At 50.9% G+C, this 27,694-nt stretch overlaps 1 protein-coding gene and 2 long non-coding RNA genes across 4 annotated transcripts in view, besides 4 other annotated features; 1 reads left to right on the top strand and 2 right to left on the bottom strand.

The window, feature by feature from the left end:
- Positions 1-1,616: 1,616 nt before the first annotated feature.
- LOC107985355 (uncharacterized) lies at positions 1,617-2,526 on the bottom strand. Its single transcript, NR_153418.1, has 3 exons — positions 2,375-2,526; positions 2,090-2,147; positions 1,617-1,996 (listed from the first exon to the last, which is right to left on the bottom strand). It is a non-coding gene; the product is annotated as an uncharacterized LOC107985355 (long non-coding RNA).
- Positions 21,491-21,570: a silencer, noted in NCBI's record as "silent region_1904". NCBI's record gives its function as "represses an Ori minimal core promoter by ATAC-STARR-seq in GM12878 lymphoblastoid cells {active_cell/tissue: GM12878}" and the evidence as "EXISTENCE:reporter gene assay evidence [ECO:0000049][PMID:35858748]".
- Positions 21,605-27,694, top strand: part of WNT9A (Wnt family member 9A) — a 29,277-nt gene continuing 23,187 nt past the window's right edge. Inside the window, exon 1 of one of the 2 annotated variants that reach the window (NM_003395.4) lies at positions 21,605-21,744. In NM_003395.4, coding sequence (NP_003386.1) covers positions 21,650-21,744 — 95 coding nt within the window. In that variant the 5' untranslated portion in view covers positions 21,605-21,649. Of the gene's footprint in view, positions 21,745-25,315; positions 25,455-27,694 lie in introns of those variants that run through there. The other variant, XM_011544271.3, reaches the window with a different exon arrangement.
- Positions 21,651-21,700: an enhancer, noted in NCBI's record as "active region_2686". NCBI's record gives its function as "activates an Ori minimal core promoter by ATAC-STARR-seq in GM12878 lymphoblastoid cells {active_cell/tissue: GM12878}" and the evidence as "EXISTENCE:reporter gene assay evidence [ECO:0000049][PMID:35858748]".
- On the bottom strand, positions 22,234-23,679 carry LOC124904533 (uncharacterized). Its single transcript, XR_007066912.1, has 2 exons — positions 23,110-23,679; positions 22,234-22,835 (listed from the first exon to the last, which is right to left on the bottom strand). It is a non-coding gene; the product is annotated as an uncharacterized LOC124904533 (long non-coding RNA).
- Positions 22,674-22,783: a silencer, noted in NCBI's record as "silent region_1903". NCBI's record gives its function as "represses an Ori minimal core promoter by ATAC-STARR-seq in GM12878 lymphoblastoid cells {active_cell/tissue: GM12878}" and the evidence as "EXISTENCE:reporter gene assay evidence [ECO:0000049][PMID:35858748]".
- Positions 26,505-27,407: an enhancer, noted in NCBI's record as "H3K4me1 hESC enhancer chr1:228129831-228130733 (GRCh37/hg19 assembly coordinates)". NCBI's record gives its function as "activates a minimal SCP1, AML or CMV promoter by ChIP-STARR-seq in naive H9 embryonic stem cells {active_cell/tissue: H9 hESC(naive)}" and the evidence as "EXISTENCE:reporter gene assay evidence [ECO:0000049][PMID:30033119]".

The following is a 27,694-nucleotide window of genomic DNA, read 5'->3' as shown; positions in this document are numbered from 1 at the left end:
GCTATGATCAGGCAAGTGGTGGGCCTGGAGGGTCTACTGTGTGGTAAGAGTCTGGGCCTGTGTAGGCAGACATGAGGCAGGAGCTGAGTTAGGAGAGGCCAACTTTTGGAGAATTTGGGCCTGCAGAGGCTGCCAGGAGGCAAGAGCTGTGCCTGGAGAGTCCATCTTTTAGCATGAGCTGGGCCTAAAGAGACCATTGTGAGGCAGCAGCTGCCTGGGAGGCAGGCAGATTCATGGCCTGGGGAGGCCACCGTGAGGCAAATGCTCAGTTTTCGGAGGATGCCGTGAGGCAGGGAGAAACTTGGCTTTCGGTGGCCGCAGTGAGGGAATAGTTTGATTGCTGAGCCTGCCGGGAGGCCAAAGGTGGGCCTGGAAAGCTTTACCTTAAGAATTCTGTGGCCTACAGAGGCTGCCAGCAGCTCAGCAGGAGTTGGGCCAAAGGAGGTTGTTGTGAGGCAGGAGACGGGCCTGTAGACGCACTGGGAGGATGAGCTCATCCTGGAGATGCCGAGTTAAGGACATTCTGGGCCTCGACAGGCTGCAAAAGGCAAAAGCTGTGCCTGGAAAAGTCGCCATGGGGCATGAGCTTGGCCTAAAGAGGCCACTGCAAGGCAGGAGCTGGGCCTGTAGAGGCTGCGGAAAGGCAGGAGCTTCGCCTGAGGATGCCACAGTGAGACACCATCTGGGTCTGGAGGGTCCACTGTGAGGCAGAGGCTGGCCTGTAGAGTCCGACAGTAGACAGAAGTTGGGCAAAAGGCTGATTTGAGGAAGTTTTGGGCTTCAAGAGTCAGCCACGAGGCAGGCACTAGGCCTGGAAATGGCCCGACAGTCATGAGTTGGGCCTAAATGGGCCACTGTGAGGGAGGAGCTGTGCCTGTTGAGGCTGCTGGCAGGCAGGCAGAAATTTGGCCTGGGGCAGCTGCCATGAGGCAGGAGCTGGGTCTGGAAAAAGCCCCTGGGAGGCAAGAGCAGGGCCTGCAGAGGCTGTTCTCAAGTCAAAGCTGGGCCTGTTCATGCCACCGGGAAGCAGAAGGTGGGCCTGGAGAGTTTGACTTGAGGAAGTTTTGGGCCTACATTGGCCGCCATGAGCTGGACAGGAACTGGGCCAAAAAAGGCTGTTGTGAGGCAGCAGTTGTGCCTGTAGACCCAGCCAAGAGGAAGAGGTGGGCCTGGAGAAGCCCCCATGAGGCAGAGGTTGGGCCTGTAGACGCTGACAGGAGGCAGGAGCTGGGCCTGGAGAGGTCCACTTGAGGAGATTTTGGGCCTTCATAGGCCACCAGGAGGCAGCAGTTGGGACTAGAGAGTCTGACTTGAGTAAGTTTTGGGCCCGGAGATGACGTCCTGGGACAGGAGTTGGGCCTGGAGAGGCCACCGTGAGGCATGAGCTGGATGTAGAGAGGCCAGTGTGAGGCAAGACCTGGGCCTGTCTAGGCTGCTGGGAGACAGGCAGGAATCTGGCCAGGAAAGGTTGCCATGAGACAAAAGTTGAGCCTGGAAAGGCCCTTGTGAAGCATGAGCTTGGCCTAAAGAGGCCACTGGGTGGCAGGAGTTGGGTGTGTAGAAGCTGCTGAAAGGTTGGGAGCTTGGCTTGGGGGGTCCACAGTGAGGCAGATGCTGGGCCTGAAGAATCTGCTGTGAGGCAGATGTTGGGATTGTAGAGGCCGACGGGAGGCAGAGGCTGGGCCTGGAGGTGCCACCAAGATGCAGGAGCTGGGCCTGGAGAGGCTGCAAAGAAGCATGAGCTGGGCCTGGTGAGGTCGACTTGAGAAAGTTCAGGGCCTGGAGAGAAGGCTGGGAGGCAGGAGCTGGGTCTAAAGAGGCCATTGTAACGATGGAGCTGTGCCTGTGGAGGCTGTTGTGAGGCAGTAGGCTCATCTGCGGAGACTGCCGTGAGGTAGGGTATGGGCCTAAATAGGCCATTGTGAGTCATGAGCTTGGTCTGTAGAGGCTGACTGGAGAAAGTTCTGGGCCTGGAGAGGCTGCTGGGAGGTAGGAGCTGGGCCAAAAGATTTAAGCACATTTACATTTATTAGGCACTTTATTTCCATTATTACACTGTAATATATAATAAAATAATTATAGAACTCACCATAATGTAGAATCAGTGGGCGTGTTAAGCTTGTTTTCCTGCAACTGGATGGTCCCACCTGAGCGTGATGGGAGAAAGTGACAGATCAATAGGTATTAGATTCTCATAAGGATAGCGCAACCTAGATCCCTCACATGCACAGTTCACAACAGGGTGCGTTCTCCTATGAGAATCTAATGCTGCTGCTGATCTGAGAAGGTGGAGCTCAGGCGGGAATGTGAGCAAAGGGGAGTGGCTGTAAATACAGACAAAGCTTCCCTCACTCCCTCACTCGACACCACTCACCTCCTGCTGTGTGGCTCCTTACGGCTCCATGGCTCAGGGGTTGGGGACCCCTGCTCAAGTGCATCCAAAGCGACCCTTCCCACATTCCCACACCGGTCTTCATAGTGGTCAAGGGCAGCAACCACTTAGCTCCCAAGGCATGTGCCTCAGCTGGCATTTCATCACAATCAACAGTAAGTGGTAGCTTGAGTCACTGTGAGGTCAATTCCTGGAAATCACCAGCATCCCATTTCCCACTGGCAAAGAGCTCAGCACTGCCCCCTGGGAAACCAAACCTAGGCCCAAATCCCATCTGTGTGGGTTTATCTCCTGGGACTCTTCCTAACATATTAGTCAGAGTCCAATCAGGAAGCATAAACCACTCAAAAGTTTAAAGTGGTAAAATTTAATATGGAGAATTATTCATTATAACAGGTGAACAGCATAATGAGAGATTGGCTAGCACAAAGTAAAGAGAACTCTAGAGAATACAGGACTAGCCCAGGCCAGGCATGGTGGCTCATGCCTGAAATTCCAGCAATTTGAGAAGCTAATGCAGGAGGATTGCTTAAGGCCAGGAGCTAGAGACTGGTCTGGACAACACAGTGAGACCCTGTCTCTATCCAAAAAACGAAAAAAGTTAGCTGGGAGTGGTGGTGCACACTTGTAGTCCCAGCTACTCGGAATGCTGAAGTTTGAGCCTGGGAGGTCAAGGCTGCAGCGAGGCATGATTATGCCACTACAGTCCAGCCTGGTGACAGAGCAAGACCCTGTCTCAAAGAACAAAACAACAACAACCATTTACAGACAGAAAAGAAATAGAGCTAATAAGCTAAGGAAAGATGTTGAAATGTGACAAGTAAAGTAATATGAGGTCTTTTATCTATTTAAAATAATCAAACAAAAAATGACTTACCAAATTATAATACCCTGTGCTGGCAAAGGTGCAGTGAAATGGGCACTTTCTTATACTACATAGTGAGGGGTGTTTAAATTGTGTATAAGCCTTCCCGGGTAAGGCTTGTCAATTTTTTAAAATAATGGAGACAGGGTCTCACCATACTGCCATACTGCCTCCTCCAACTCTTGGCCTCAAGCAATCCTCCTCTCTTAGCCTCCCAAAGTGCTAAGATTATAGCTGGGAGGCACACAAAACCCTGTCAATTTACATCAAGGGTAATGAGAATGTCCATTCACCATGTCTCACAGTAATCTTACTTCTGGGGAGACAATTCAATCTAAACAAAAGGTCATCTGTACAAACACAGTAAAAATCTGGGAGTAACTGAAGACAGAGTTGGTAAGTGAAATAAGAAACAGTTATAAGAAATTAAACTATGATATCAATAGGCACCTGGTATGAAAGGTCAGTTGATGTTAGCTGCTACTTTTTTGTTGTTTTGAGACAGGGTCTCACTCTGTCACCCAGGCTGGAGTGCAGAGGCCTGATCATGACTCACTGCAGTCTCAGCCTCCCTGGGCTCAAGTGATCCTCCCACCTCAGCCTCCCAAGTAGCTGGGACTACAGGAAAATGCCACCACACTAGGCTAATTCATGTATTTTTCTGTAGGGATGGTGACTCCCTACAGTTATTATATATTATATATCTATTATATATATAATATTATTTATATATCTATTATATATATAATATTATATATTATATATCTATTATATATATAATATATATTATATATCTATTATATATATAATATTATATATATAATATATATTATATATCTATTATATATATAATATTATATATATAATATATATTATATATCTATTATATATATAATATTATATATTATATATCTATTATATATATAATATTATATATTATATATCATTTCCAAATTCCCCAGCATTCATATTTGTCAGTGCAAGTAAAGAGCCTTAGTGCTGATTAGGTTTGAGGTATGACCATTTGGCCAGAATTTATGAACTCTACATGTCGCTTGATGTGTGCTTCAGGGTACACTTTTTTTTTTTTTTTGAGACGGAGTCTTGCTCTGTCGCCCAAGCTGGAGTGCAGCGGTGCGATCTCAGCTCACCGTAAGCTCCGTCTCCTGGGTTCACGCCATTCTCCTGCCTCAGCCTCCTGAGTAACTGGGACTACAGGCGGCCGCCACTGTGCCCTGCTAATTTTTTGTATTTTTAGTACAGACGGGGTTTCACCATGTTAGCCAGGATGGTCTCGATCTCCTGACCTCGTGATCCACCCGCCTCGGCCTCCCAAAGTGCTGGAATTACAGGCTTGAGCCACCACGCCCAGCCAGGGTACACTTTTAAGCAGAGACACTACTTTGAAGGTCATAAAAAATATAATAAGAGATAAGGCTAATTTCCTTTAATAATAATAAATTCCTTTAATAAAAATATAAAGGAATAATATAATAATTTTCTTTAATAAAATATAATGAGATAAGGCTAATTTCCTTTAATAAAATATAGTAACTACATACCAACACAGAATTCCTAAAAAAGAAATGGAGAGGAAGGGAGCATGGGTCATTAATCTTGTCAAAAATATAAAATTATATACGAGGAATTCCTAGAAACTGTTTTCCTTGTCTGCGGCCATTGTGCTGCTGCTACATAACTACCGCAAGCAGCCCTTCACGCCCTCCTCCCAGTACAAAGCTAATTGACTTGTGAGAAATGTTAAGCTTGGAAGAGTCAGCATCGCTGCACTTATTTTTTATTCTACTCTGACATTAGAATAATCCTTGAGTGGGGGAAAGGTTAAAAACCCCCCTGGATAAGTGTTACTAATTAATGATGATTGTTTTAAACAATGTTTGGATAATTTTTCCTTGTCCCTTGACATAAACTTGATAACTGAGAAGTGAGAAGGAGATTAGTGGGTTGATTAAATTCCATTCAGGTACTTAAAGTTAGCTCCAAAAATTTAGCTATTTATAAATTGTCATGCATTGTTAATGTATAAGAGATGTAGATTTCATTTATCTTTGGTGGAGCGAGATGAAGCAGTGAATCATTGAAGACTGAAAGAAAGAAAAAGGTCTTTTCCCTTTTCTTTAAGAAGCATCATTAGTTAAAAATATGTTAGTTAAAACCAGAGAACTATATTTAAAGGGACAGCAATAAGCAAATTGATTACTCTGGTGATTATTGGAGTGACATTACCTTTTAGTTGTACTTTCACAAAAATTCACAATATTTGCCAAAGTCAAGTTATCCATTACACTATTAATTTGTCATTCTTTTGTTTATATAGTCAATATCTCTATCTCAATTGGATCTATCTCAACTGCTTCTAAACAAGCCACCATAGTCTCTCCCATTTCAACAATCTCTTCCAAGTACCATTTCATTTCTTCTTTTCATATTTTTGAAAACTTTTGAAAAACTACCTGTTTTCCTCCTCCATTTCTTGTTCATTCCATTCTAGTGGACATGGAATCTGTTCCTCCTCCAAAACAGAATTTGGTAACCCTTAAATTACTAAACCCAAAACAATATGTTGTTTTTATCTTTACCTCTCTGTGGCATTTAATGATAAGACCACTACTTTCTTCTCTTTTACCCTTCTTTCTTGAATTCAGTCAAACAACGTACTTACATTTTTCGTCTTATTCTCCATCTTAGAAACCACCTCAGCTTTCTCCATGCAGCCATAAAATTGTGCTTTTCCTCAAAGATTAATCTGCCTCTCCTCTCACTCTATACTATCTCTGTTAGCTAATTTTATTTGTGCACATTGCTTATACTGGGCATTATATACACATATGCATGTGTGTACCTGTGCACACACACACTGTATGTGGACATGTATATATATGTGTGTGTATATATATATAGTATATATATAAATTACAATAACATAAAGGTGGCATTTTAAATTAGTGGAAATTACCCTGATTTGATCACTACACATTCTATACATGTAAAGAAATATCACTCTGTATCCCAAGAATATGTACAATTATGGTTTGTCAAATGAAAAAGTTCATACATTGAAAAATTTTAGATAAATATCAAACTTTCTCTGAAACTGTAAAATGTAATATATATATACACACACATACACATATACACTACAGACATATATATATTTATATATATAATATTAGAGTATTTTTATATATATAGTAGATATATATATATATACATATATATACACACACAATATCTGCCATGTTTCCATATGCATTCTGAGTTAGGCAAAACAAAGACAAGCACCTTGTATGAGTCCTTCAGGCACCTCTCCCTAGCCCTCAGGCAGCTTAGGACAGACATGCACAATAATTTGCCAATCAGGTCTGGTGTGCTCCCTCTTGTATGAGAGACCAGAGTCCCACTCTGTCACCCAGGCTGGAGTGCATTGGCATGATCTCGGCTCACTGCAGCCTCCACCACTCAGGTTTGAGTGATTCTCCTCAGCCTCCTGAGTAGCTGGGACTATAGGTGTTTGCCACCACACCCAGCTAATTTTTGTATTTTTAGTAGAGACAGGGTTTCGCCATGTTGGTCAAGCTGGTCTCAACCTCCTGACCTTAAGCCATCCTCCCACCTGGGCCTCCCAAAATGCTGGAATTGCAGGCATGCGCCACCGCGCCCAGACCTCCTTTGTATACTCTTGCTTTCCTCTATCTTCTCGGACATGTGGGGTATATTTGTAACAGTTGCTTAAGTGATCTTATCTACTAATTATATTATCTCTTTCATTTCTAGATCTGTTTTTGTTGATAATTTTTTTTCTCATTATGGGTCATATTTTCCTGTTTATTTGCATGCCTAGTTATATTTGATTGGATGTCTGGCATTGTGAACTTCACCTTGTTGAATGTTATTTCTTTAAATGTTTTTGAGCTTTGTTTTGGGATGCAATCTGATCCTTTCAAAGACTGCTTTTGAGTGTTTTTCAACAAGCACAGAGTGACTCATAGTCAAGGGCTCATTTGGCCATCTCTGTGTCCTTCTTGTCCTCTTCTCTATGTCCCATTAATTGTGAAGTTTTCTGATCTGGCTATTAGCGACCTATTCCCAGCTTTGTGTGAGCTCCACTGATTTTTTCTCCTGCAATTTGGGTGGTTCTTTCCCATGTCTTAGGTAGTTTTCTTGCCCTTGTGCACTGATCAGTCCTGACGAAGACACTCTGCAGCCCTCTGCAGCTCCCTCCTCCTCTCCAGTCTTCTGCCCTGTGAACTCCAGCCAGCTTGCTTTGGGCTGTCATAATAAAATATCTCAGGCTGGTGGGCTGAAACAACAGACATTTATGTTCTCACAGTTCAGGAGGCCAGAATTCTGAGGTCAAGGTATGGGCAGGGCTGGTTTCTCCTGAGGCCTCTCCTTGTGGCTTGCAGATGCCACTTCCTTGCTATGTCCTCACATGGCCTTTCCTCTGTGCACACGCAGCCTGGTGTCTGTGTGTACAGACTTCCTCTTCTTATAGGGACGTCAGTCAGATTGGATTAGGGACCCCCTTGTGGCCTCATTTTAGCTCAATCACCTCTTTAAAGACCCTGTTTTCAAATCTGGTCACATTCTAAAGTACTGGGAGTTAGGACTTCAACATATGGATTTTGGGGGTAGGAAAGTGTCAGGACTCAGCCCAGAACAGGCTCTGGGACTCTGGCTCTATCTCCTCAGGGAGACTACTGGCCCCTGCCTGGACCCACCTCGCTCTGTCCCCTCTTAGGGCCTGTTATCCTGTGCTGCCTGTTGGCTAATGTTGGAAATTGTGGTTCCATCCATTTTGTCTAGATTTTTCAGTTGTTTCAGGAGGGAGGGTAAATTTGATCCTTTTTACTTAATCTTAGCTGGAGTAGAAGTCTTACAATACAGCTGCTTAACCCGTCCTCTTGTTTTCCACTCCATCCTCATCCCAGCCCTGGTGGCCCTCAGCAGAGTCCCAGGTTGCTACCCAGAGACCCTGCCATCCGTCCTCTTGTAGCTCTCTCTGCCGTGACTTATCAGTTACCTCTTCTCTGTTTTTTTTTCTTTCAAAGATTTGTTGTAATCTCTTGAGTGAGCTTCTCCTGATCAACTTGTCCCTATGGGTCTTCTATGTTTTCATTCATTCATGATTATTTTAGTGAGATCTTCAAAGGAAGAAGAAACCAGTGAGTGTAAACAGGTTAAACTGCCGTCTTCCACCAGACATTTCCTCATGTCTTTAAACAGTTAAAGTTTCTTGGAAACATTATTTGAAGGCAGATGTTCTCCTGGGGGACATTTACAATGCTTATAACTTTTTACTATTGTAAATAATGCTTTGATCACTGCCCTCATGCAGAATGTTTTGTGCATCTCGGTTACTTTTCTAGTATAAATGCTTAGAGACTCAGTCAAATCTTTGACAAAATTAAAACCTCTGAGGTATATTGCCAGAAGGCCACCAAAAATTTTGTATCATTCTACCCAGATACTACCAACGCTTTCTTCCTATGCTTACAAAGCACTTTCTTATTCTGGAATCAATAAAAAGTTTTCCTATATTTCAATTATTTTAAAGTCTCTCCCTAATCCACCTGAAAATTGTTTATGGCATAAGCGAGGGTGTGACTTTATTTTTATTTGGGAAACAGTTAATTTCCTCTCTTCAAAATGGGTTTCCATTGGCACCTCTTTGTGGAACATTTCTCCTTCCTTCCCCTCCTCAAATTGAGCTGGGGCCATACCTGGGTGCTTGCAAGGGAGATACACAGGGTAACACTGGCTTCTGGGCCTGCGGTCGTGTCTGGCTGGGGAGGGAGGATCCCCAGGACCAAATATTCTCTCAGAGCCCTGGAATCTACCCCAGTTTTATCCTGACGGCCCTGCTATAATGATGTGGATATGGATACCAGAACCGCTACGTACCAACCAATTCTAGACTATAGCACCTTCGCCCACTGCAAAGCTGACTCACACCTGAAGATGTCTTTATTATTATTATTATTTTTTAAGAGACAAGGTCTCACTCACTCTATGTCCAGGCTGGAGTGCAGTGGCATGACCATAGCTCACTGTAGCCTCGACCTCCTGGACTCAAGCGATCCTCCTGCCTGAGCCTCCCAACATGCTGGGACTACAGGCTTGAGCCACTGCCCCTAGACAAGATGGCTTTATCATCATACCCCAAGGTATCTATCAGTCAGGGTTTGATTGGAGAAGTAAACAGCTTGGAGATGTGTACCTGCTAATGACAGAAATTTGACTTTTGACTTCACATCACTTTGGGAGCTGGTTATACCGTCTTTTTTTTTTTTTTTTTTTGACAGAGTTTTGCTCTTGTTGCTCAAGGTGGAGTGCAGTGGTGCAGTCTCAGCTCACTGCAACCTCCAGCTCCCGGGTTCAAGAGATTCTCCTGCCTCAGCCTCCCAAGTAGCTGGGATTACAGGCACCCACCACCACACCGGGCTAATTCTTTGTGTTTTTAGTAGAGATGGAGTTTCACTATGTTGGCTAGGCTAGTCTCGAACTCCTGACCTCAGGTGATCTGCCTGCCTTGGCCTCCCAAAGTGTTGGGATTACAAGCGTGAGCCACCGCGCCCGGCCTATACTGTTTCTTGAAAGCTGTTGACTTGAAAGTTCGTGGCATGGGAAGATGGAAGTGGAAGATGGGCATGAGGTGGATATGAGGCTCCTGTGAGGCAGAGTCACAGCCCAGGAAGGTGCAGCAGGACCCGGAAGGATCTCCTGCCACCTCCCAGCCTCTACCTTCAGTGATGGGTCCATGCAGGAGAGGATGTTGCCTTTTGTATTGCATTAAACACCCGCTGGCTGGTCAGGGTTGTGGGGGGCGGGGCCAAGGCAAAAGATCCAGCAGGAAAGCTGAGTGCAGTGGTTCATGCCTATAATCCCAGCAATTGGGGAAGCCAAGGTGGGAGGATCACTTGAGGCTGCAGTGAGCCATGATCACACCTCTGCACTCCAGCCTGGGTGACAGGGTGAGATCCTATCTCTAAAATAAAATAAAATAAAATAAAATAAAATAAAATAAAATAAAATAAAATAAATAAAATAATAAAATAAAATAAAATAAATAAAATACAATAAAAAATAAAATAAAATAGGATGCAGCAGGAGTAGGGAGCCATGGACCTAGTCACTGTCCCATGCTGACTGTTGGGTGGGACAGATCTGCCTGTGCCTGCATCCAGGCTTAAAGACACAAGGTGCTCCTTTACCCAAATCTCAGACAAAAATGTTCCTGGGGCCCACACTCCCTGGAATCGTGTTTTAGCTCAGGGAGTCAATTAAATTTGGCAGAGAGGCTCAGAGGGGTGAAGGGGCCACTCACAGGCCTTCCTGGCCTCAAAGGCTGAGCCTGTCAAATGTGGGGAAGAGCTACTAGTTCAGAGCCAACCCTGGAGGCTGTTGGCCCCACCCTCAGGGACATGCCAATGAGCAGGTGAAGAGCTCAGCATCCTCCTGCTTGCCCACACCCTCCTCCCAGGAGAATCAGTGAGCACCCTTGGACCAGGGGCCCCTGACTAGATTTGGGCTGCTTTGGGGTTTGGAGGGACAAGTACTTGGGGCCAGGAAGGGCCTTGATGCAGGAATTCATGCCCCTTGAGGCCCACTAGGGAGCTATAGTCAAGGGCGGGGGTCCCAGCCATGGGGAGGTGAAAAGCCAGGCAGAATCTAGAGCGGCTTTTAGTTGGATTACTGCTCAAAGCTACTGCCATGATGAAAAAGGAAACTTTGCAGATGTGAATCTCAAGTCTAGAGAACATCTCGGGAGAGAAGGGCTACCAACCCAGTGGGAAGACCAAAACCTGGCCCAGCACCTCACCTGCCTCCCCACGGGGCTGGCCAGCTTCATGCTTGGTGTCCTCATCTTCCACCATGAGGTTAGACAGTGCATCCTGTGACTTCGATTCTTTTAAATTCATTGAAGTGTATAGTGTGTCCCATCTTGGCAAATGTTCCATGGGCATTTGAAAAGAATGTATGTTCTGCTGTTGTTGGGTGGAGTGTTCTATCGGTGTCAAGCAGACCCTCCAGGTCAATGGTATTATTGAGTTCTTCTATATCCCTGCTGATTTTCTTAGAGTAGTTCTATCAACTTCTGACAAAGAGATTTTGAGTCCTCCACTATAATTGCAGATTTGTCTACATCTTCAGCTCTATCAGATTTGCTTCATGGATTTTGAGGCTCTGTTGTTTGGTGCATACACATTTGGAAACAAAACTGAAAATACAACATATCAAAATATATGGGATTCAGCTAAAGCAGTGCTGAGAGGGACATTTGTAACGGTAAATGCTAGAAAAGAGGGAAGCTCTCAAATCAATATTCTAAAATCCCACCTCAAGAAACTAGGAAAAGAGGAGCAAAATGAAACAAAAGTGAGATGATGGACGAAAATAATAAAAACAAGAAAAATAAGTAAATGAAATCAAAAGCAGAAAAATAGAGAAATACCAATGAAACAAAAATTTGGCTTTAAAAAACAAAATCAGGGCTGGGCGTGGCGGCTCACACCCATAATCCCAGCACTTTGGGAGGCCGAGGCGGGCAGATCACCTGAGGTTGCCAGTTTGAGACTAGCCTGACCAACATGGAGAAATCCCGTCTCTACTAAAAAAGTTACAAAATTAGCCTGGCATGGTGCCGCATGCCTGTAATCCCAGCTACTCAGGAGGCTGAGGCAGGAGAATCACTTGAACCCGGAAGGCGGAGGTCACGGTGAGCCAAGATTGTGCCATTGCGCTCCAGCCTGGGCAACAAGATTGAAACTCCATCTAAATAATAACAATAATAAAAAAATATAAAAAAATAAAATCAGTAACATTTATAAACCTCTAGTAAGACTGAAAAAGACAAAAGGAGATAAGACACAAATCACCAATATTATGAATGAAACTGGAGATATTACTACAGATCCTGCAACATTAGAAGAATAATCAGGTAACACCATGAACACTTCTACTCTCACAAATTCAGAAGCTTAGGAAAAATGAACCAATTCCTCACAAATGACAGACTAGCAAAACTCCATCAAGATGAAATAGACAACTTGAATAGTCCTATGGCCATTTTTTAAAAATTGCTGTAAATAAACATTCCTTCCCCAAATGTCCAAGGCCAGATGGTTTCACTGGAGACTTTTACTACACATTTAAAGAAGAAATAAGTCCAGGCATGGTGGCTTATGTCTGTAATCTCAGCACTTTGGGAGGCTGAAGTGGGAAGATCACTGGAGCTCAGGAGTTCAAGACCAGCTTGGGCAACACAGTGAGAATCTGTCTATGTACTTTTTAAAAAAGAAAAAATAAAGAATTTATACAATTTATTCTAGGAAGTTTATGCAATTTATTCTAGAAAACAGAAGAGGTGGGAATCAATCCCAACTCATTTTTAATATCCCTTACAAACTTAGAAGCAAAAATCCTCAACACAATATTAGCAAATTGAGTCCAGCAATATATAAAAAGAATTATATACCATGACCTGGTGTGATTAATTCCAGGTATGTAAGGCTAGGACAATGTTTGAAAGTCAATGTAATCCATCATATCAACAGGCTAAAGAAGAAAAAGCATATGATTGTATTGATGCAGAAAGAGAATTTGGAAAAATCTAACACCCATTAATGACAAAATCTCTTAGCAAAATAGGAACACCCATTAATAACAAAATCTCTCAGCAAACTAGGAACAGAGGGGGACTTTAAAAATATATTTTATATTAAAAATATAAAAATCTTTATAGCTAATGTCATAATTAATGATAAAAGAGAAATGCTTTCTCCATAAGATCAAGAACAAGGCAAGGATGTCAGCTCTCATCACTCTTATTAACACAGTACTGAATGTTCTAGCTGGTGTAATAAGGCAAGAAAAGGAAATAAAAGGCATACAGATAGGAAAGGAAGAAATAAAACTGTTCCTATTGGCAGATGACATGATTATCTACATAGGAACACCAATGAATCCTAAAAAATAAACCTTGTAGAACCAATAAATGGGTTCTGTAGGGCTGCAAAATAAAATATCAACACACAAAAATAATCTTATTTCCATATACTTATAGTGAACATGTGGAAGCTGAAATAAATATAAAAACACACCATTTTCAATCACTCCAAAGAAAATGAAATATTCAGTTACACTTAACAAAAACATGTATAGGATCAAGTATGTGTTGAAACTGCAAAATTGATAATGAAAAAAGTAAAAAAACAAAAACCCTAAATAAATAGGAATACTATGTTCATGGATTGGAAGACTCAAATAGCAAAGATGCCAATTGTTCCCACATTGATTCCCACAGGAATAATGTAGTTCCTATCAAATCCTCAGCCAATTTGTGGGTATAGACAAGTTTATTCTAAAATGTATGGGAAGGCACAGATCCTAACTACATAAAATTATCTTAGAAAAGAAGAATAAAATGAGAAGAATTGCTCTACATGATGGTAAGTCTTCCTACAGTATATGGCTACAGAAACCAAGACAGTGTGGTAACAGCTGAGGGATAGACATATAGATCAATGGAACAGAGAACTCAGAAATAGCTCCATCCGACTATCCACAGCTGATTCTTTTTATAAGGGTTCAAAAGCAATTCAATAGAAAAAAGGCAGCCCTTTTAACAGATGGTGCTGGAGCAACTGGATAGCCATTGGCAAAAACAACAACAACAACAACAAAAAACTGAATCTGAACCTAAATCTCACACCTTATCCAAAAAATAACGTAAAATGGTTTCAGACTTAAACGTAACTGTAAAACTATAAAACACATAAAATAAATGAGAGAAAATCTTCAGAATCTATGGCTAGGCAAAGAGTTTCTCAGACTTGACACCAAAAGCATGATCCACAAAAGGAAATATTGTTAAGTGGGACTTCATCAAATTTAAAAGTTTTGCTCTGCAAAAGTCCATGTGAAGAGTATGAAAAGACAAGCTGCAGACTGGAAGGGCATATCTGTAAACCACATTTGCAAAGGAGTTATACCTAAAATATATAAAGAACTCTCAAAACTCAACATTAAAAATCCAGTTAGAGAGTGGGCAGGAGCACATGTTCTCAGGACCTTCAGAGGCTTTTTGCCTCCATGGGCAAAAATAATAAATTATATATATTTAAAATATTTTTAAAAATTAAAAAGGAAAATGAGCAAAAGATGAACAGGCATTCCATCAAGGAGGATACACTCATGGCAAATAAAAATCATGAATGTTCAACATCATTAGCCATGAAGAAAATGCAAATTAAACCCACAATGACACATCTATCAGAATGGCTAAAATAAAAAAGTGACAACTACAAATCCCGGTGAGTGTGTGGAGAAACTGGATCACTCCTTCACTGTTGGTGAGGGTGGAAAATGTGCCTGCTGGCACAGCCCCTCTGGAAGACAGTTTGTAGATTTTTACAAAACTCAACATGCAGTTGCCCTGTGACCCAGTCTTTGCTTTCTTGGGCATATTTCCTAGAGATAGGAAACTCATGTTCACAAAAACATGGACATGAATGCTTACAGCAGTTTTATTTGTAACAGCCAGAAACTGGAAACAGCCCAGATTCCATGGGTGAATGGTGAAATGCACTGTGGTATATCTGTAGAGTGGAATATTATGCAGCTGTGAAAAGTCATGAAATATTGATCCATAGAACTATTGATCCATTTGGGTGGATCTCAAGGGAATTCTGCTGAGTAAAAAAATGAATCCCAAAGAGTTACCTGCTATAGGATTCCAGGTAAATGGCATCCTCAAAAAGACAAAATGAGAGATGGAGAACAGATGAGTGGGTTCCTGGGTTGGGCTGTGTCTATGCAACAGCAGCAGGAGGGGTCCAGTGCTGATGGAAATGTCCAGTATCCTGATTGTGGCGGTGGACACATGAAGCTAGCATAGACCTAAACACCCACACACACAAATGAGTGCCTGTAACAATGTAAACTTCCTGGCTGTCATAACGTCCTAGAGATTTGCAAGCGGTTACCATTGGGGAAAACCGGGGGAAGGATACCAAGGGTCTCTCTGCACTATTTCTATGCAAGTGTCCAGCATGCATCTGACAGAGGACATGGTGCTATCCATGAGAATAAGCAGGACAGGTCCTGTGCTGGATGCCGCCTGAGGGGTGTGTGTGTGCCGGCGGGGATGCAGGCACCTTCTCTAGCTGGCCTGCAGGGGGCAGCCCCGCCTTGCAGGGATCTGGGCTCAGCAGACGCCCCTGGGCTGGGCTCAGCCTCCCAGGCCTGGCCTTGTGAGCCGAGGAGCTGTTCTGTGTCTGTCTGTCTGTCTCTGTCTCTGTCTGTCTCTGTCTCTGTCTCTGTCTCTGTCTCTCTCTCTCACACACACACACACACACACACACACACACACACACACACACACGGCGCAGCCTGTGAGCTCACTCTGCCCACGGCTGGCAGTCTGGGTGGGTTGCTTCTGCTTGAGCTCTTTGTCCAGCTCCATTTCAGATGACTCATGAGTGGTTTTTGCCCTCTCCCCTAGGGACACCCCCTGCCTGGCGTCATAAACCTTCCCAAGGAGGCAACATTTCCTGATAAGCAGCCTCTCGCCCCACTCCTCCAAGACCACCCAAGAGATTGGCCCCCCCTCCCTGGGTGGTGCCAACAGCCGCCCCGTCCTGGGCCTCCCCACGGCCTCTTGAGCTCAGAGCAGTGGTGTGCAGCTCCCTGGAACCCCATCCTCATGTACTCTGTTAGCTGGGCCAGGTCCAGAGAGGGGCACATCTGCTGGGGAAGAGGCCTCCCCCTGCTCTCCGAGGCCTTGGTGGGCATGGTGGCGGGGGGCGCCTTTGCCCAGTAGGACGTCCTGGCAGCGCCTACACTGTGGCAGCTCAGGCAGCCCTGCTGCACACCCCTCCTGCAAGGGTTTAATCAGGGGCTTGTGGCTGTGGGCATTCCTGTTCTCTGTCCTCCCTGCCCCAAGGGAAAGGATCCCTTTCTCTCACTGGTTCATGCTGTCTCTCTGTCTCTTTCTCACATGCTCTTATTCTGTTTCTCATTTTCTATCTCATTCATTTATTATCTTTCCCTCTCCATCTCTTTTTGTCTCTCATTCTCTGTCTTCGTATCTCTCTCCATCTGTCTCTTTTGTCTCCCTCTCATTCTCTCTCTTCATCTTTCATTAATTCCGTGTCTTTCATTCATTGTCTCTCCGTCTCTGTCTCTCATTCTCTTTCTTTCCCTATCTTCATCTCTGTCTCTCTTCCCATCTCTGTCTCTCTCTCTGACTCTGGCCCAGGGAGCATGAGACTGAGGAGGTTGGATCACTGGACTGGAGAGGTGGAGATAGGAACTAGCAGGATCCTCACCCAGCCCAGTTGCTGTGCGCAGCCAGGGACAGTGGGGCAGGAGTGGCCCTGGGGCGGAGGCGTCGCTCAGTTTCCCAAGGGTCCCGCCTCGTGAGCTTTCTGGCAAGGCCTAGGGTAACAAGCACTTATTTCTGCCCAGCCACATGGTGACTTGAGTGGATCGAAGGATGTTAGAGCTGCTTCTGTTTGGTGGGGGCACCCTGGCTTTCGAGAAGGGCCCACCGTTGGGGGTGTGTGAGCCCAGAGCCCTCCAAGCTCCTCACAACCCACACCACTTCCCTGAGGAATCCAGACTGGGCCTGGAAGGGGAGTCGGGATGAGCCTGGCCTCGGGGGGTGGCTGCCTTTGCCCAGCAGGGTGTCCCAGCAGCGCCCAGACACCACGGCAGCTCAGGCAGCCCCTGTACATGCTGTCTTGTGTGGGCATAGTCAGGGTCTGCGGCTGTGGGGGATTCAGCACTTCACAGGGCAGGGGTCTGCACGAAGACGGATGTTTGCAAGAGCGCCTGGACGTGATGAGCATTCACAGGCAGCTTACTTTTGGGTTTTCTCTCTATGTGGTAAGGCTCCTTCCTGAGCCCACGCCTCCTCCCTGGCGCTGACACAACCTGTCAGGGTTGTGCCTTCCCCACCCCTTGGAAAGCATGTTGAACCCTAGTTGCGGGTAGGGCAGGGAAAACCCAGCCTGGCCTTAAACACTTCTTGCAATCCCTTGGGGCTTCTGCCAGGGGCCCAGCGCATCCATTATAATTACACATCTGGAGCTGGGGAAACCACCACAGGAGGGGCTCCAGGAGCTGTGGGACCAACTGGGAGTTGACTGAGCTACAATTCCATGGGTTCCAGGACCTCCACAAGCCCCTACTGTGCCTGGGGCCACTGCGACCTGCTGGTTCTCCTGGAATCAATGTCGGTGCAGGGCTGTGTCCAGCTATCCCTGAAAGGTCTGATTATCTCTTCTCCCCACTGCATGGTCACCCTGGTAAAAGGCCAGAAGTGCCTTTGGGGAAGGCTGGGAGAAAGGTAAGAACAGTAAGTTTTTGGTAGTGCAGCGGGTCCCCCTCAAGGGGGCCCAGTCCCCTCCATCCAGCGGGTTCTGGGTCTGCAAACTGGCTCAAATTTGGGACTTGACTGAGGAGCTTGGACTTTTTTTTTTTTTTTTCCCAGACAGAGTCTCACTCTGTTGCCCAGGCTGAAGTGCAGTGGTGCGATCATAGCTCAGTGCAGCCTTGAACTCCTGGGTTCAAGCAATCCTCCTTCCCCAGCCTCCTGAGTAGCTGAGACTACAGGCACACACCATGATGGCCAGCTAACTTATTTATTTATTTATTTATTTATATTTTTAGTAGAGACGGGGTTTCGCCATGTTGGCCAGGCTGGTCTTGAACTCCTGGCCTCAAGTGATTCGCCTGCTTTGGCCTCCCAAATTGCTGGGATTACAGGTGTGAGCCACTGTGCCTGGCCCAGCTAATTTGCTAATCTGTTTTTCTTATTTTCTCTTCTTTGTTTTTTTTTAGATGGAGTTTTGCTCTTGTTGCCCAGGCTGGAGTGCAATGGCACGATCTCGGCTCACTGCAACCTCCGCCCCCTGGGTTCAAGTGATTCCCCTGTCTCAGCCTCGTGAGTAGCTAGGATTACAGGCACCCACCACCAAGCCTGTCTAATGTCTTTTGTATTTTTAGTAGAGACAGGGTTTCACCATGTTGGTCAGCCCAGACTTGAACTCCTGACCTCAGGTGATCCCCCAACCTCAGCCTCCCAAAGTGCTGGGATTACGGGCATGAGCCACCACGCCTGGCCCGCTTATTTGTTTGTTTGTTTTTTTTAATAGACACAGGGTCTTGCAATGTGTCTATAGCTGGTCTCAAACCCTGGGCCTCAAATGAACCTCCAGCCTTGGCCTCCCAAAGTGCTGGGAGTAGAGGGGTAAGCCACCACACCTGGCCTGTTTTTGACTGGAGGTGGATTTCTGTTCACCTGACTGTGGGCCCAGTGATGGCTTGTCCTGCCTACCTGGACAAGCCATCCCTTACCTGGAGAGCTTCTTAGGCCTGGGAGGCCGTGGGGAGTTGTGGGGTACAATGCACTTTCCAGCCAGAGAACCGCCAGCCCCAGCTTCTCCAACAGAAACATAGGGGCCAGACTGCATTATGGCAGATGAGAATAAAAAAGCCCACACTTCCTGGGAAACGTCTCCACCTCACACTGTGCCCAAGGTTGTCTGGATATGGCTTGAGAGAAGCAGGAGGTGGGGGCAGGTGAATGCTGCCCTCTGGGAAGGGACACTAGCGGCTGTGGCTGAGGCAGCAGGTAGGCCACGGTGGGCGAGGGCAGCCAGACGTGAAAGGGAGTTAGAGCCTGGGACATTCGTGGGAGGGGGTGTGATTCTCCCTGGGTCCAGGTAGGCTGAGGGGACTGCCTCTATCTGCCGCCATCATCCTAGGTGCAGGGAGGTAAGAGCTGGGCCAGCCCTGCCAGACCTCAGGTGTATCTCTGATATTACCCTGCCTGGGGCACTGGGTCCTACCAACCACATGCCCTGGGCTCCTGGGCATTCTGATAGGCTCCTGGCTGGAGCTGGGCCAGGGCTTCAAGTGGGGGTCTGGTGGGGCCACTCAGGGCTGGCCTGCCACTCCCACCACCACCAAAAGCTGCCATGAGCTGATGGCCTCCCTTCTCTGGCGAAACAGCAGGGTCCTTCCCGAGTTCATGGATGTCGGATCATCCTTCTCAGCACCCTCTTGCACCAAATGTGGTCCTGAGAGTCCAGGACTGGGACTAGAGCCCCCTGCCCCTCAGCCGGCCAGGCAGCTGCCTCCTTCCTTGGGGACCACTAAGCTGCTGCTGGGAGAGTGCTTCACCCCCAGTGGAAGGGAGCTCTGTGATGCCGGAGGCGCTTGTGATGCACATTTACAATCTCACACGTCTTCTTGGAGGCAGCCTCCATGCCTTTAAGCATGCCATCATTGCAGGGGGGTGTGTGGGGGGTGGGGAGGGTCTCCCGTCCTGTCTGCTTCCCTCTGCTGCCTCTCACTTCCTGGTGCTGGAGCCAGACTTTGGGGGCTCACTGGAGCCCATGGCCGTGGGGCGGGTGGGCCTCCCACTGGGGTCGCTGCAGCCTGGGTGGGCTGGGCTGCCGTCTGCACTCCCTCTGCTGAGTCAGCCCCATTTCAAGGGAGGTGGCCCAGCCCCCTGAGCAAAAGAGGACAAACAAGTGCCCTCTCCCCACAGGAGGGGGGTCCTATGGATGGGGAAGGATGTGAGACCAGTCACACCTAGTGGAAAAGCAGAACCAGGGGCCAGGGCTCCCACACAGGACATCATGCCTTGGAGAAAAGCCACCACTCGCTGGAGTTGGATGGGTCTCAGATGGGGAAACCGAGGCCCCGAGAGGGAGTGACTGCTCAGGCCCGGTCTCCTCCCTTCCCCACCCTTGCTTTGCCCCACATGCACCTGAAGCTCACCTGGCAAACTGGCCATCAGACACTCAGAAAGGGTATGCTCACAGGGGTGACCCACATGGCCAGGCTTTCCCAGGGAAGCAGGGCCGGGAGCCCTAGGGGTGGCGAGGTTGGCTCAGATCCTCGTGGGGGCCATTTTCTGCTGCTCCTATCTTCTTTGTTTTTCCTCTGAGGACCCTCATATTCGCCTCTGTCACTGCCACTGGCGGGATTTCACAGCCTTCCGGGGGCATGTGCTCCGCCCCCCAGGTTCTGCGGTCACTGTGCCAGAATCAGTCCCTGCAGGCACAGAGGGCACTGCCTAGAGACCTGGCACCGCAGCCCAGGTCTCTGAGGCCCCTGCAGCACGTGGCTGGGCAGGCTCGCTGGCCCTGTGTCCTCAGCCTTGGCAGCCTAGCCCGTGTTGGAGGCACCATCCTGCACTGACCAGGGTCTGCAGGTGGCAGGCATGCCACCGCCAGCCTGGACCCCAAGCCCTGTTCTTGTGTCCCTTGTTGCATGGCACAGAGGCCCCATCCAGGGAACTTATAAGCCTTCTCCTGGATGCCACCCCCAGGTCTGTCTGGAATGTGTGCACCTGTATCCTAATGCCAGCTCTGGGTCCTCTGACACCATTCTGCTTCAGAAGCAGCTCCGAATCCGTATCGCAGAGGGGACGAGTCCCCGGGCTGTGACTGAGCGCTTCCAGCTGCCTGGGTGTGCACCTTCCATCCCAGGAGTCCTCTTTCTCCCCGTCCCGGCCAGGACACAGGCTCTGAGAAGGGCGTTGCCCGATGGCTGGTGTTTCATTGACTTAGCCGCTAGCTCCACTCCCACAATTTAAGAATGGGGAGACCATCAGGACCCCAAAAGGTAGAGCTACTCACCTCACAGCCCCAGCAGGCTACGTCGCTTCATTCCCAGGCCGAAAGCGGCCACAGTCCCTGCCAGAAAGGAGCGATTCTCTGGCCCCGCTCCTTGAGGGGGTCAGCATGCGCAAGAGGCGCAGGCATCACCGGCTGGCCCGACTCCTCCTCACCAAGCTTCCCCCGGAGCAGCCGCGCAGCGCCCAGCTCGGGGCAGACGGCTGGGTCCTCTGTGGAACCATCCCCGACCGTCCCGGCCTGGAGCCCCGCCGGCGGCTAGCCCGGCGGCCAACGCCTCCCCTCCCCTCCCCCTCAATCCCGCCCCGGGGGCCGCCCCAAGCTCCCACTGCAGCGCCCCCAACGCTCTACCCGCTTCCCGATGCCCGCCTCCGGCCCCCCAATGCCGTCCCGCCGTGGTCGCCCCGGGTTCTCGCACGCCCCGCCCTCGGTTCCCACCGCTCTCCGCCTCCCCTTCCTCCATCCCCGCCGGGCAGGGCGCGCCCGAGACCCGCGCCGGGAGCGGCGGCCGGGGCCCCGAGTGGCCGGGAGGGGCTGGCGGGCTGGCGCGCGCGGCTCGGGTTTCGGCCCGCCCCCGGCGCCGGCGTGATCCCCTCCCGGGCGCGGGGCGGGGCCGGGCCCAGCTGGCCGCGCTCCGGGCGCTATAAGAGGGCGGCGGCCGCGGCGCGCCCTGCGCGGAGCTGGGAGCGCGATGGTCGGCCGCCGAGGCGCGGCAAGATGCTGGATGGGTCCCCGCTGGCGCGCTGGCTGGCCGCGGCCTTCGGGCTGACGCTGCTGCTCGCCGCGCTGCGCCCTTCGGCCGCCTACTTCGGGTAGGTGCCTTCGGCGGCCGGCGCGCACTGGTGGGCGGGGGCGGCGGGGCCGGGGCGGGGTCGTCCGGAGTCCCCGAGGCACCCGGGGTGGCTGGGGCCGGGGCGCGGCGGGGCCGCCGGGTTGCCTGGCGCTGTTTGTTTGCGGCGCGCGCGTCGCTCCGTCCGCTGCGCGGCACGGCTAGAGAGGCGGGTGGACCCGTCCGGCTTGCGCCGGGCCGCGGTCCTCCGTGACCGCAGAGTCGTCGTCGTCGTAGTCGCCGCCGTGAGCAGGACTGCCTCGCGCTTAGGGACTGGGATCAGGTCCCGACTTCCTTGGGCCGCCGTGTCCTTGCCAAAAGGCTGGAGCCTGAGTCCTCAGCCCCTGGCCATCGCCCACCTAGCAGCTTCCCCCCCTTTCTCTTCTCGAGAAGTTAATTTAACAATAACAAAAATACGTACAAAATCCAGATGTTCCTCGCGCTGAGCCCCAAACGGAGAGAGAGAGAGAAAGAGAGAAATCCTCCAAGCTGGAGGAATTTATTTTTCTTGCGCTTTGCTTCTGACTCTGTGGCCCGGGCCCCGGCCCGCGGGAGCGCGTCCATGGAACCTGGCCGGGAGCGCAGGGCCCGGCCGGGGCGTCCCGCGGTGTCATTGCCCGTGCTCACGTGTCTCTGCAGCAGCGCTTTGCCGGGCTGTCGGCGCGTCTCTCTCTTCCTTTCTTTCCCTTCCTTCTTCCCTCCCCCTCTCTGAGGTCTGGGATGCCCAGTCCTGCGACCTTTACAGGGACCCTCGCTGCGCTTTGGGCGCGCTGAGGTGCAGGGTGGCGCCGTGCGAGGCAGCGCCCCGGGCCTCCCCGCCACCCTCCAGCCTCCTACCCCGAGCGCCGCCGCTGGGAGCCCTGGCTGGCCTTCGGATCCCAGCCCCCGACCTGGACGCCCTGGGCCGCTCCCTCAGCCGGGCCGCCGCCCTCCGCCGGTCACCTGTTCCCGGCCCTCTGGCCTGAGCGCCAGCGCGCGGCGGGCTGGCCGGCAGAGGGCCCCGTTGGTCCAGGAATCTGGCACCCGCCCGGGCAGGGAGAGGCCGCCTGGGCCGAGGAGCCCTGCAGGTGTATCCTGTTCTCAAAGAAAATAAAATATTTTCATGGGAAACTTTCCCTTTGTGTTTTTCTTTCTCTCCCTTTCTTCTCTCTGTTCCTTTCTTCTGGGTCGTCTTCCAGGGTCAGCCCGGTGTCTCAGTTCCCTGGGGCCCCCACCCGCAGCCCTCTCCTGGCTCCAACTGTGGGTACGGCCCTGGGCCTGGGCTGGCACGCCACTGCACGCCATCTGTGCAACCCGTAGCCTCACCCGGGAGGGCAGGAGGGAGGGCCACAGGTCCGCGGTGACTCACCGTGGCCTTGTCAGCCAGCTGTGCTTCCCTGCTCTCCGGCCCAGCGGAGGCTCTGCTTCTTGGGCTGGGGACACACCCTGGGCTTGTCCAGGCTGCAGCGGCTTTGTCCCTGCTGTGATCCGATTCCTGGAGACGGGGTGGCGCTGGGTCTTGGCCTCTCCTTCTCTGACCTATCTCTGGGCTTTGTGCCCTAGAGAAGGTCAAGGGGCTCTGCTGCTTTGTGTGCGTGTGTTTCAGCTCTCTTGCAGACAGTAAGTCCAGGCTGGTGCCAGGCGCATAGCAAGGACTTAAGTGCTGTTGTGGCTTCTCTGGCCAGGCCCCCTTGGCCCTGCTTCTTGGCTCCAAAGGACCCATCAAGGGAGAATTCCTGAGTCCTGTCTGAGGGCAGCTCTCCATGTAGCTGCCCTGTGGGAAGTCCAGAGGGCAAGTGTGCTGCCTTTGGGGACAGCTGGCATTGCAGAGGGCAGCTAGGACTCTGTTTGACTGATGGAGAATGAGCACCTTCCTGAACCAGGGGCTGGGGGGGCATCCTGGGTCAGGGCAGGCCAGGTTCCATCTGGGCTGCTGGAGGCCTTGGGCCCCCTGTAAGTCAGTTCCCAAGGTTGGGCTGGGGAGGGGAAGCAGGGCACAAAGGGCTCCAGGCTGGGTTGTGCGGAGGCCTCTCCTGCTGTGGCTCCTGGCCCAGCAAAGGCAGGGGGTGGCCCAGGGCATTAAAGGCCAGGCGGGGCTGGAGCTGGAGGGGGGCTGGGGTGGCCCTTCCCAGCTCCAGTCCAGGAAGCAGGGAGAAGGGGCTGGGATCTAGGGCCGTTTTCTCCCTTCCCCCTCTCAAAAGCTCTGCCTGGCACGGAGTCTCCCAGGCAGGAACACGGCTCCAGTTACAGCCCAGGAACCCGGAGAGGAGAGGCTGGCCTGGGGGAGGGTCACGTGGACCCACGGGAGCCCTCCCTGCCTGCTCCCTGAGCTGCAACCCAACCCTGGCTGGCGCCCGCTGCCCTCCTAGAGGCCTCTGGCCACCAGGCTGGACCCCCTGTGGGGAAGAGGCTCCCCTTGGCCTGGCCCTGCACCTTGGCCTGGCTAGCAGGTGGCATCTCCATCTGGTTCTCCCATGGCTATGTCCATGTGCCTCCTCGCTGGCCTGGCCCCAAGCCCTTCTAGACAGAGGGGTAAGCAGGGAGGCCAGCCCGAGGTCATAGGGAGGGCTTGGGGTACAGACTCAGACCCTCTCCCCAAGGTTATAGCAAGAGGGTGGGCCTGGTGGTGGTCTGAGGACATGGTTTGTCCTCCATTGGGAGGCCCCTCTCGCTTCGCCCTTGCTGGGTTGTGGTTTCAGCTGAGATGGTAGATCCGGATTAGACGCCGGGGCTGCTTCTCTCCTGGGCCCAGACCCTCTGGATGTGGAGTCAGGGCTGGGCCTGGGTCTGGGGGCTGTTCCTGCCCAGCGGGGCTTGGACCCCCACCCCTGGCTGCTAGGCTGCCTGGCTCCCTGGCACCTTGCAGCCCTTTCCTTAGGGGTCCTGGGCTGGCTCGGGATGAGGTCTGAGGCTTCCCACTGGAGTTCTTTTTTAAAGACCCTGAGGCTGTTTTGTGGTGGTGGCCCTTGCAGTTTACATCACTCAGGAAACATTTGCAGGTTACTTTGCGGGGGCACGATGGTGGGAGGCCAGGCCCTGCCAATTTGCCCCCTTCTCTGGGCCTCAGTAGCCTGGAGGCCTGCCTGGAAGAGGCATAACCAAGGCTGGCACTGAGGGATTGTTGAGGTGCCCCCGGCTGTGGCCCCAGAGCCAGCCATCGGGGCTGGAAAGGTGCTTGGAACTGGTCCAGAAGCCAGGCTGGAGGGAGTGACCACTGTGAATTGGGGGCCTGGTGGGCCTCAGGGCTGGCTGAGGCTTTTTGTTATTGGCCGTAACTCACGTCCTGTAAAATCCACTCTTTTAATGTATACAGCCCCGTGATTTTGAGTACCTCATTTGCCAGGCCATGCAGCTCTCACCACTGTTTAATTCCAGAACATTTTCCTCACCCCAGAAACCTCATACGCATTAGGCAGTCGCTGCCCGTTCCCCTCCCCCAGTCCCTGGCAACCACTTGTCTGCGTTCTTTCTCCACGGGTCTGCCTGTCCTGGACGTTTCCTAGAAATGGAATCCTATGCCGTGTGGCCTCCGCGCCTGGCTTCTCTCACTCAGCATCACCGTTGTAGCACGCGTTAGTATTGCCTTCTTTCTTATGACTGAGTTAGACTCGACTGGAAGACTCTCCGAGAGATTTTTTGACCGTTCATCAGTTGACGGACATCTGGATCACTTCCACTGTTTGGCTATGATGGATAATGTTGCTGTGAGCATTGGTATGTGAGGTTTTGTGTGTGTGTGTGTGTTTTCAGTTCTTGGGGTACATAGAAGTGGAGGTACTGGGTCACATGCATGTGATGTTTTTGTTTTGTTTTATTGAGACAGAGTCTTGCTCTGTCACCCGGGCTAGAGTGCAGCGATGTGATGAAGGCTCATTGCTGCCTCCACCTCAGAGGCTCAACCGTCCTCCCACCTCAGCATCCCAAGTAGCTGGGACCACAGGCACAAGCCACTAATCCTGGCTAATTTTTTTAAATTTTATTTTTTGTAGAGATGGGGTTTTACCATGCTGTCCAGGCTGATTTTGAACTCCTGGGCTCAAGGGATCTCCCACGTCAGCCTCGCAAAGTGCTGGGGTTACAGGCGTGAGCCCTTGCTCCCCGCCTGCATTTAGGTTTTTGAGGCCCTGCCAAACCCTTCTGGATGCAGCATCTTACATTTCTGCCGGCAGTGCAGAAAGGCTCCTTTCTCCACTTCCTCGCTGACACTGGTTTTCTGTTTTATTTTCTACCGCAGCCATCCTAGTGGGTGTGGAATGGCACCTTGTGGGGCTCTGACTGCATTTGTCAGGTGGCCAGTGGCGCTGAGCATCTTTTCGTGGCCTCATGGGCCATGGGTCTTCTTTGGAGAATGTCCATGCAGCTCCTTTGCCTGTTTTTAGTGGGGCTGCTTGTCTTTCTCCTGTTGAGTTTATGAGAGCTCTTTATATATTTGGATTTCTCCTTGGACTGAGAAGAACCTTGTCTCTAGACCTGTGAGCCTGTGGGCGCTCTTACCCCTGCACAAGGAGCCAGCGACACCCTGGCAGCCCCACTGGGTGGGTGGGGGCAGCCAGGACATCCCCCGTTGCCTAGAGCCTGGTGTGGGGCAGTTCTGGGTGCTCAGGGGACTCTCAAGAGGAGGCTGCGGAGAGGCTGCTGTCATGGGCGTGGGGAGGGGATGTGTTTCTCACATTAGTGCCAACATCAGACCCCGCAGGGTCCAAGAGGGAGGCTGCTGGCTGTGGGCAGGACATACCCTGCCTGGTCCCATGGCTCTGCCTCTCTGTGCATCAGGCCTGGGGCACAGCTGGCTGCCTGGATGAGGGGCACCTGTGGGTCCCTGGCAGGGCCGGAGAAGGAGGGGTGGGCCTGAGGTGTGGAATCATGGGGCTGTGTGCTGGGCAAGAGAAGCCTGGGAAGGAGCTGGCAAGAAGGCGGCATCTGGGGTGACCCCATGGCTGGGGCCTGGGTCGGGTGCTCTGAGCACTGTGGGCCGGGGGGTTTGGGAGCAGCTGAGAGCTCAGGCTTAGGTTTGGGCAGGCACTGTCCTGGAGACCCACCCCCTCCAACAACTTAGGACACCCCAGGAAGCATGTGGGGCCTGGCATCAGGAAGAAAGGCCACACAGAGTGCTCTGGAGGGCCAGAAGGGCAGGGAGGAAAGGGGCCAGGGAGCTGCCTTGTTTCGAGAGATCGTGGAAGTGGCTCAGTGGGGCAGACCTCAGCAGAGGGCTGAGAGGAGGGGCCCTGGGGGCCAGGGGACTCCCTGGGGACTTCTTAGCATGGAGAGGAGAGGACAGGGCCAGTGGAAAGTCGGGGCATTTCTCCAGGACTCCTGGACTGGGACCCCGTGGCCAGTAGAGGGACCCAGGTGCTTGGCTTCCCTGACAGTGGGGCCGTAAGTGGGAGGGTCTGGAGTGTCAGCCTGATGGCCCCTGCAGGCGCTGGTGGCCTTCCTCCTTCCTGCTCTGCACCCAGGGGCCTTGGAACCCCCAGCCTCTCCCTGCCCCACCTGCTTGGGGGTCCTGGCTCCCTGGAGGGTGTGGAGGGTGTGTGGTAAGGACGGAGCAGCAGTGCCTGGCCTGCCACAGCTGAGGGAGCAGATGTCCTGTCCACAGCCGGCGGACGTCTGGTTGGGGAGACAGCTGGCCTCATCTTGCTCCCGCCCTGCTGCAGGCTGCAGAGGGCCCCAGTGCCTGCCCTGGCCTGGGACCTTCCGCCGGCTGCTGGGGTGGCCCGGGCTGGGGGTGCCCTGCTCTGGGGTTTGGCCATCAAAGAAGCGTGTGGGTGACTCTTCCCCTAGGAAAGAGCACACAGGCACGGATACCTCCTGGAGGCTCTGGACCCTGGGGCAGGGAGGAGGTGATGCCTGTGGGAGGGTGGGGGCTGCGGGAAAGCGACACCTGTTGACAGGCCTCGGTCGCGCCACCTGATCCCAGCTGCGGCACGGGCTCCCTTTGTGCATTGTGCTGGGCG

The sequence above is a fragment of the Homo sapiens genome, chromosome 1 (assembly GCF_000001405.40).
Source record: "Homo sapiens chromosome 1, GRCh38.p14 Primary Assembly".
NCBI lineage: Eukaryota > Metazoa > Chordata > Mammalia > Primates > Hominidae > Homo > Homo sapiens.
The sequence above is the reverse complement of the archived record's forward strand: the minus strand, read 5'-3'. Positions and strand labels throughout refer to the sequence as shown.